A 10235-nucleotide genomic window follows, 5' to 3' on the forward strand; every position below is an offset into this window, starting at 1 on the left:
GGTTTGTCATAGATAGCTCTTATTATTTTGAAATACGTCCCATCAATACCTAATTTAAATCAATTCAAGATGGATTAAAGATTTAAACGTTAGACCTAAAACCATAAAAACCCTAGAAGAAAACCTAGGCATTACCATTCAGGACATAGGCGTGGGCAAGGACTTCATGTCCAAAACACCAAAAGCAATGGCAACAAAAGCCAAAATTGACAAATGGGATCTAATTAAACTAAAGAGCTTCTGCACAGCAAAAGAAACTACCATCAGAGTGAACAGGCAACCTACAACATGGGAGAAAATTTTCGCAACCTACTCATCTGACAAAGGGCTAATATCCAGAATCTACAATGAACTCAAACAAATTTACAAGAAAAAAACAAACAACCCCATCAAAAAGTGGGCGAAGGACATGAACAGACACTTCTCAAAAGAAGACATTTATGCAGCCAAAAAACACATGAAGAAATGCTCATCATCACTGGCCATCAGAGAAATGCAAATCAAAACCACTATGAGATATCATCTCACACCAGTTAGAATGGCAATCATTAAAAAGTCAGGAAACAACAGGTGCTGGAGAGGATGTGGAGAAATAGGAACACTTTTACACTGTTGGTGGGACTGTAAACTAGTTCAACCATTGTGGAAGTCAGTGTGGCGATTCCTCAGGGATCTAGAACTAGAAATACCATTTGACCCAGCCATCCCATTACTGGGTATATACCCAAAGGACTATAAATCATGCTGCTATAAAGACACATGCACACATATGTTTATTGCGGCACTATTCACAATAGCAAAGACTTGGAACCAACCCAAATGTCCAACAATGATAGACTGGATTAAGAAAATGTGGCACATATACACCATGGAATACTATGCAGCCATAAAAAATGATGAGTTCATATCCTTTGTAGGGACATGGATGAAATTGGAAACCATCATTCTCAGTAAACTATCACAAGAACAAAAAACCAAACACCGCATATTCTCACTCATAGGTGGGAATTGAACAATGAGATCACATGGACACAGGAAGGGGAATATCACACTCTGGGGACTGTGGTGGGGTCGGGGGGAGGGGGGAGGGATAGCATTGGGAGATATACCTAATGCTAGATGACACATTAGTGGGTGCAGTGCACCAGCATGGCACATGTATACATATGTAACTAACCTGCACAATGTGCACATGTACCCTAAAACTTAGAGTATAATAAAAAAAAAAAAAGAAAGAAAAAAAAAAAAAAAAGAAATTATATTTAAGGAATTTGAGAGCTCTTCCATTGACAAATATAACTATTCAATTTTTTGTAATAACATGAAGACATTTTAAATCCAATTGAAATTTTCATATCAAGTATTTCAAAATAATGAGGAAGCCTTGATTTTTAGAATACATATATTTTAGAACAAAACCCTATAGCTAGCCTGGACATAAGTAAAACGGCCCATCCATGGATGGACAGAAGTATCTGATATTTGACAAGAAAGAGCTTCTTGATTCCCATCTGGGGGTGCAGTCACAAGGAACCTCCATCTAGCCTGCCAGCCCCACCACCATCCCACTGGCATCACCTTAACCTACACCCTTGGCTGGTGCTCTTAAGACACCTAGAACATGAGATCATTCAGTAGTGCCCAGACTTCTTATGCATACTGAGCAGCAGAATGCCCTGCAACAGGCTGCTGGAGGAGATGAGGAGGGAGGCATGCCCTGGTACCGAAGCTAGGCCGGATAAGTACCTTTGCCATCCCCAGCACACATGGGGAGTGTGCTACCAGACGCTGCTCCTGGCTACCCTCTAAGAAGCCTTAGATAAAACTGCTCCCTCCAGAGACAGCTACCTGGGAGTTCCAGTTACCCCAGCCTTCCTAAGGGCTTAGGGGACCATTATCTTAGCATGCCATGGCAAACCCTATAAGAAGCTCTAGGATAGGGAGAAAACACAATCATTTTAAATAAGTATGGCATGTAAGTTCATTTTTCTAGTAGATATTCAGATGTGCTAACATTCACTGCTTACAGAAGAACTTTTCAGTGTCTCACCTTTCTTTTCTGAAATGTGACATGGCTCCAGACTTAAAGGACCCTTAGTTGCATGTTGTGAATATCAAATAAACTTCTGACCTGAAAAAGAAACACAGAAAGATCACCAAATAAAACTGTCATAACACAGCTGTCACTGACTCATTCATTCAAGTACCCCTTATTAAGCACCCCTTATGTGACAGGAAATATTTTAGACACTGAGAATAAACTACTAAACAAAACAGACAAAATGTCTTCCTTCAACGAACTTACTTTTCACAGGGGAGAGGAATACATGTTAAAAATATTAATGAAGAAGAAATTATATAGTATTATAAAGTATGTGCTACCAAAAAAAAAAAAAAAAAAAGAGGGATAGAGAGTGCTGAAGTGGAAGAAAGTTCAGGAAGTTTGTGATTTTAAATACAACGGTCAGAAAACACCTTGCTGAGAAGGGGACGTTTGAGCAAAGATTTGAAACAGATGAGGAAACTGGCAACATGGATGTCTGAAAGGGAATCACTGCAGAAAATGGAACTGCGAGGCCCTGGGGAGAGCATGAGCGTTTTCAGGGAACAGAAAGGAAGCTGGTGAGACTGAGCAGAGTGGAAAAAGGGGAAGGCTGTGAGCAGAATGTTACATCTTCACTTGGGGTATGAGGGGTAGATTCTGTAGAGCCCGATAGGCCACTGGCTTCTACTCTACATGAAATGGGGAGCCACTGGAAGGTGTTAAGCAAAGGAGGAACATGAGTTAAGTTTCAACAAGATTACTCTTGTTAAAAGAGTGATCTTGTGTTGAGCATAGCCATAAGGAGGTGTGGTAGCATCAGGGAGTGAATTCAAAGGTGGCTGCAATAATACAGGTGAGTGGTAACAGTAGCTTGGACCAGGAAAGCAGTGTGGATGGCAAGAAGTGATCAGATTTTGGAAGTGTTTCTTATCAAGAATTTCCTGTTGGATTGCATGTAGGACATGAGAGAAAAGAAAAGTCATGGGCAATTCCAAGGTATTTGACTTGAACAATTGAAAAGGAGTCATCATTTATTGAGATGTGGAACAGCTTTAGGATAAGAGAAAATCTGCAGATCAGTTTGGGAATGCTAAATTTTAGATACTTATTATTATCCAAATGGAGTTGTTGAGGAGGCACACAGATATATGTGTCTGGAGTTCAAGGGAGAGAAAGCAAAAAGAGATCTCTTGAAACCAAGAGAATCTTGCAAATAAAAGTTCATGTTTAGGAAAATGACCAAAATAGTAAGACAAAATGTCTAAACCCGAAAGGCCCAAGAATGGGTCCTGAAGAGAGTGATGTGGTATGAGGGGCTTTCCAATAACCCACCCTACAGTCTGAGAAGTTTTTCTAAAATGGAGGCCTGATTATGCTATCCCTCTGCTCAGGACTCTTGTACAGCCCCCAGGCTCTAAGAATGCAGTGCAAACTCCTTAGCATGACTTGAACCCTCATCATCTATCCCCTGCTTAATGATTCATTCAGCCTCATTTTTTGCCACAACATTCCTCCCAATCCCTTGCCCCCACAAAAGCATTCTCCAAAGAGGCTGGCTGACTTTTTAAAACTCAACACTTATAGCTATCTCTGATTTTTCCCTTCCCCACTCTCTTACCCAGACTAACCCCTATTGCTCTTTCAAGTTTCTGATAAGATATTGTCTCATTCCTTATTCTCATTGCCTTTTAACCCACTAGGTTAGAAGCTCTGTGAAAGGCAATGTATTAGTTTTTTGTAGCTGCTGTAACAAATCACTACAAAATTGGTGGCTTACAACAGTAGAAATTTATTCTTTCTCAGTTTTGGAGACCAAAAGTTGGCTGTTTTGGTGGGCTGAAATAGAGTTGTGGGAAGGGCCCCACTCCAGATGGAGGCTCTGGGGGAGAATCCTTTTTGTGGCCTTTTCCTTCTTCTGGAAGCTGTCCTGCCTCCGAGGCCCACGGCTCTGCACCTCCCCTTGCTTTATCATATTGCCTTCTTCCTCTTCTCTCACATTCCCTCTGCATCCCTCTTAGAAGGACACTGTGATTTCATTCAGGGCCCACCCAGATAATCCAGAATATTCTCCCCACAACAAGATCCTTAATTTCATCACATCTGCAAAGTCTCTTTTATTATATAGGGTAACATATTCACCGGTTCTGTGGATTAGGACTTGGATCATTATTTGTGGTCATTATTCAGCCTACTACAGTCAAGACTGGCTGTTCTATTCATCACAATATCCCCAGCAGCTAGTGCTGCATCTGCCATATAAGAACCCAGTTAATAGTACTGAAGAATACGTGAATGAATTTAGTGAGTTTTTATCACCCGAATGCCTCATTAATCTTCCTCATAGACACAACAAGAGATAAGTCATTACAGTAGTCACTCTTCTCCGTTTCACTTTCTGTGGTTTCAGCTACCCATGGACAACTTCAGTTTGAAAATATTAAATGGAAATTTTCAGAAATAAACAACTCACAAGTTTTAAACTGGGCATTTTCCTGAATAGCATGATAAAATCTTGCACCATTCTACTCCATCCCACCCAGGATATGAATCATCTCTGCCCAGCATATCCATGCTGTATATGCTACCTGCCTGTTAGTCACTCAGCAGTCATCTGAGTTTCCTTGTGATCACTAGATTACAAGAAAAAGGAGGGTGAGTATGGTGCATGAGATATTTTGAGAGAGACCACATTCACATAACTTTTATTACACTGTATTGTTACAATTGTTCTATTTTATTATTAGTTATTGTTGTTAGTCTCATACTGTGCCTAATTTCAAAGTAAATTTTATCATACATATGTATATATAGGAAAAAACATAGTATAGGGTTTGGCAGTATCCATGGTTCCAGGCATCCACTGGCGTCTTGGAACATATCACTCACAAATAAGAGGGGGCTCCTGAATCTCTTATCAACTTATTTTTGATAAACAAAAAGAAGTTTTCATTTGATCAAACAGCTTTTTCTCCTAGTATCAGATTTGACAAAGTTTATTAAGCTAGGGAAAAAAAAAATCCTTCGTCAGGTTATTGAGATGAAATACAGAAAACGGCACTGGGGTTCTTATCAAACTTAAATCTTACTGTAAACTTCTAATTGCCTCCCCAAAATGCAAATAATAAATCCTTTTGGGAAGACTATAGCTTGCCGTGAGAATGGTTAATAAGGGTTGGTGTGGGGGATTCAGTTACCAGGAATGAATGAGGTCCTGGGAGTCCAGGTCCCAAGGACACATGTGAGGTTTAATTTTCTCATCTTTATCATCCCAAAATGCCCCCTTTCTGATTAAGTCCCAGTAATGTTCCCTTGCATAACACAGTTCATTTAAAAGTTTAAATTCATGAGAAAATGATATAAAGAAAATATAAAACACAGCTAAGTAATTTTAAAGAAAATGTGACTAAGGGCTACTCATGGTACATGACTATGGTACATGTCTACCCAGAATAAAAACATTTCCCATCTTCCCTTCCAGCTAAGTGCAGCCAGATGACGAGTTGCTGAAAAATGGAGTATAAATGGAAAGCTGTACGTAAAACTTCTAATAAGTGCCCTTAAAGGAAGAAGAATGATCTTTTTCTCCTACCTTTTTCCTTACTCCTGGCTAGAGAGTAGGCATGATGATTAGAGTTCAAGCAGCTATCTTGGAACATAAGGCATCAAATTAAGAATAACAGAGCACTAAGAGAGAAGAAACTGAATCCTGATAATCATGCAACTACCATAAAAATCCTGGATTCCCTACCTCTGGAGTCCTCTGTGTTGAACAGAAATATACTTCTACCTTATGTAAGCCACTGTTATTTGTATTTATCTGTTATGTGTAGCTGAATCTAATCCAAAGTGATTCAGAATGTGGATACCTGGAAGTGGGCACCTAAAAAATATCAAGTATTGGCTTCTAAGGTGTGGTGGGTAGTAGGTCACAACAAATTATTAGAGGGTGGAAATCTAGGAACCCTCTTTTCATGATGGCACAGTTCCCTCATAACATGGTGGCTTGTTTCTAAGAGAAAGCATCCTAGAAAGACAGGTAGAAGCTGCATCACCTTTTATGATGTTGCCTTGGAAGTCACTTGGTGCCATTCTGCCATACTCTTTTGTTGAGGCAGTCAAAAGGTGCAAGTTTCAAGGAGAGGAAACAGAGACTCTACTTCTTGATGGGGAAATAACTGCTTATTTTGTAAGAAGAACTCGTAGGATGGAAGATATTGTTACATCCATCTTTAGCCAGGGGAAGGTCTATAACTGTCTATACTTCAGAATACAATTCCTGCCCTACTCCCCCCAACAAAACAGCAAAAATAATAAGTGATGTGAAAGATTCCATGGGGCTTACTAACCATTGTCCTCAGAGATGTCCTTGCATGGAAATAGAAAAGAAAAAACTTTCCAGGAGCAAATCCAGAGCAACACAGGACAATGGATGAGGGAGTTCCTTCCAAAGAACAGAATCAGAGGTTTTTGGGTGGCTAATCAAGGAACTTATCCCTCACATTCCTGCCTGCAGGGAATTTATAATTACTAAGGACCAGTGAATGATGGTTGTTTCCATTCTATCCATTTCTAAATGGGAGTTTTTATTGCAATTATCGTATTCCTTCTCCGCAATACAGTATGTTAGTTGTGTTTATGGCAATTTGTCTTTTAATTTATGCACTACCAGAACTTAAAAAGTCATACCCAAGCTTCATGGATAGGTTTGCCTAACTCTCAGAGATCCTGGACTTTGAACTACAATTAGTAAATTAATGGGATTCAGGGTTGCCTCCCTAAAAAGGAAGAGGGTGGCCAAAAATCCAAATTTGCCCCAAATGTTCATGTTCTCCTTTTTCCATAAGAATAGAGCCTTGCATTTTTAGCTAGGCACTTGACCCCACAGAAAACTAACCATACCCCAGCATTCACTGGAGCTGGGAGTTGGCATGTAATTAAGTTCTGGAACATGGAAACATCATATGTAACTTCCAGGAAGTGTCCTTAAATAAAGAAGACATGCCCTTCCTCAATCCCTTCTCCTTGTTGCTAACTGGAAGACCAAAGTGAATTCAAGTGACCATCTTGGGCCATGAAGCAGACACACTATGCTGCTAGAGTAACAAAAAAATGAGGATTGCAGCTCCTTGATGACTGCTAAGCTTCCATACTAAACCTGGAATGTTTACTTCAAGATTCCTTTATATAAGATAAAAACAAACTTCTATTTGTTTAAGCTGTTATTTGGGATTCTTCTGTTTGCACACCAAATCCTAATTGATATAGCATATAGCTGAATGGAGGAAGATGCTATAATGTCAAGTAGATTAAAATAAACGTTAGTCATATAACAACATCCTGCTTCACAAAAAAATTGAGTGACAAAAAGTGATTCAGAGATGTCCTCTGTCACCACATGGCAGCCAAAGATAGCTTTCAAAATTTGAATTAGATCTCATTAACGCTCTAGTTTAAAATTAAAATCTCTATCTTATAATCCTTAAAATTAAAAATCTCTATCCTATAATTTCCCCTGGGATAAATCTCCTTAACCTAATATGATATTCCCTGTGTAATCTGGTCCCTTCTACCACTCCAATCTGACTTACTCCCAGAATCCTATCCCACTTTGAGATCTGCCCACACTGGCTTTTCAGCTCCTATTACTCAGAACCATAGCCGGGGGTATTAAATTATACAACTGGTCCCCTGAATACATTCTCCAATACAACTGGTCCCCTGAATACATTCTCCAAAATAGGTACCTATTTTAAAGTAAAATTTAGCATGACAACTATTAATATTATGGAGAATTAATGCAAGATCATGATATATGTAAACAGAAACCGAAAAGGTGGCTTTTCACGTTACCTCCCACACTACTGGCCTGGTTCATCCCTGACTCACTCCAAAAATTTTAAAACCTAGCTCTGCCCTGAATCTTATTCACCATGTTCCCTCTCACATCATACTCTTCCATTATCTCTTCATCCAGATAATTTTTATTATTTTTCGTATATCAAATATCCCTACCAAATTTCCCCATTATAGTTGCTCATCATGCCCATACATTGCTATTATTTCTTGATGATATATCAGTTTCCTCATGGAAACATGTGCACTTGTTTCTGTGAATATTTACAAATACCAGTTTTCTCCCACTAGACTGTGAGTTCCATGAGTCAGAAAATATGTTGGTCTTAGTTCATCAATGTATCCCTGGAGTACAATAATGTACCTAACATATTGTAGACTCTTAATAAATACCTGTTGAATGAATCATTGAGAAACCTACGGCTGAGACCAAAAGAATTACAAAATTCGTACATCAAAAGTAAAAGAAAGAGCTGGGGGAAAAGCAAGAAGTAATGATGGCATGAACATGGATGGTAAGTTTAGAGAAGGGCGGGTAATAAATGTGCTACAAAGCACTTATTCTAGGTGATGAGAGAAACAGAAAAGAGTACAAAGCATAGTGCCTACCCGTTGGAGGCACAGAGGCATAATAAGGCTTATGCAAAAAAAAAAAAAAAAAAAAAAAAGTCAATTAACAATGAAAGGTAGAAAAAAATGTGAGACCAAGGAACAATATGTCATAGTATTTCAATGTCAAGAAAAGTTAAAACAGACTGGAAAAAAATGAAGGACAATAATGATTTTTGAGAACTTGCTGTGTACCAAGGACTGTGTTAAGCACTTGACAATAATTATTTTATGTAACTCTTATAATAACCCACAAGCAAGGTATTAATACCCTTAAAGATGAGACTGAAAAAGTTTAAACATGCCTAAGTAATAAAGCTTACCTGTGCAATGTCAAAATTTGAAACTTAGTGTTTCCAAATTTGAAATCGGTATACTAATCATCTATGTAGTAAAGATGAAAGTTTCGGTTTATCGCTAAAGAATGCACAGAAGTTACACAGGCAGAGGGAATGTATGAATGATAATCAGGGAGAAAGCAGAGTTGACACAAGCCATAGAGGCAAGTCAAGGTATAATGAATAGCTTAGTCTAGTCATAGCTAGAGGGTTCCTATATTAGTAGAATCCAAGATGAAGTTGGGGACAGAATTTGGGTTAGACAGGAGAGCCAATTAACAGCAGACTAAGGTAAAATTGGCTTTTATCCTATAGGCAATAGGGAAGTTACTATAGGCCCCTGAGTTAGCAAGTGGCAAAATGAAAATGATAGTCTATTTGGATTGGAGAAGGAAAAGGAAAGAAACAGATTTACACAGGAAAATTCAGCGTACTTGAGATCAAAAACTATTAGGACTGAATATAGTTATAGATTACTTAATGCCAGATCTCATTTGCAGATGAAACTGCAGCCCAATTTAGTAACTTCTCCAAAGGTGGTAGAATTGCTAGGACTGCAACTTGGTTTTCTGACTACTCTTTTCAATATGACATAGAAACAGATGAAAAAATTGAAGTCAAATAGAGGGAAACTAGAATCAAGACTAACTCCAAGATTTTAGGCCAGGATAACTGACCCAAAATATAATAAAGACATGACTGTCAGATAAAACATGATATTATTGTCAGCTACAAAGTATTTGAGAATTAATCTTTGTGGCAGAGACTCTAAGAAGGCCCCCAGTGATTTTCACCACTTTTTATTCATACCCTTAAATAATCCCCTTCCCTGGAGTGTAGGCTGGCCTATCAACTTAGTTTTCACCAAAAGAATACAGCAGCATTTTCATAATTAGATTACAAGAGACTATGACTTCTAACTTACTAGCAGAAGTTCTCTCTTGCTTGCTGTGATGAAATCAAGCTGCCATATTGTGAGATGCACTATGGAGAGGTTTTCATGGCAAGTAATTGAAAGAAACCTTTGGCTGACAGTCAAACAATTGCAAAGCCCTCAGCTCAAAACCCTCAAGTACCTAACTCATGACAATACCATGTGAGCTCAGAAGCAAATCCTTCCCAGTCAAAACTTCAAATGAGACCCCAGCCCTGGCCAATAACTTGATTGCAGCCTTTTCAAGAGACCCCAAGGACAAGAACCCAGCTAAATGTTGCCCAAATTTCTGACCCACAAAAATGAGATAATAATTTTGTGTTGTTTTAAACGGCTAAGTTTATAATAATTTGTTATACAGCAATAGACAATAAGTAGAAGACTATTTGAAAGAAAAGGCTGTTTGGTTTGAGGTGACAGAAGAATCATATGAAGTTTCTGTAGAGCACCAGGGATG

The 10235-nt window shown here is 38.6% G+C and overlaps 1 annotated feature.

Annotated features, from left to right (window-relative positions):
* Nucleotides 4293-5492: an enhancer, noted in NCBI's record as "MED14-independent group 3 enhancer chr2:53631040-53632239 (GRCh37/hg19 assembly coordinates)". NCBI's record gives its function as "activates an origin of replication core promoter dependent on BRD2, BRD4, P300/CBP and CDK7 cofactors, and independent of MED14, by STARR-seq in HCT116 cells {active_cell/tissue: HCT116}" and the evidence as "EXISTENCE:reporter gene assay evidence [ECO:0000049][PMID:35650434]".

This window comes from Homo sapiens, chromosome 2 (genome assembly GCF_000001405.40).
Source record: "Homo sapiens chromosome 2, GRCh38.p14 Primary Assembly".
Lineage (NCBI taxonomy): Eukaryota > Metazoa > Chordata > Mammalia > Primates > Hominidae > Homo > Homo sapiens.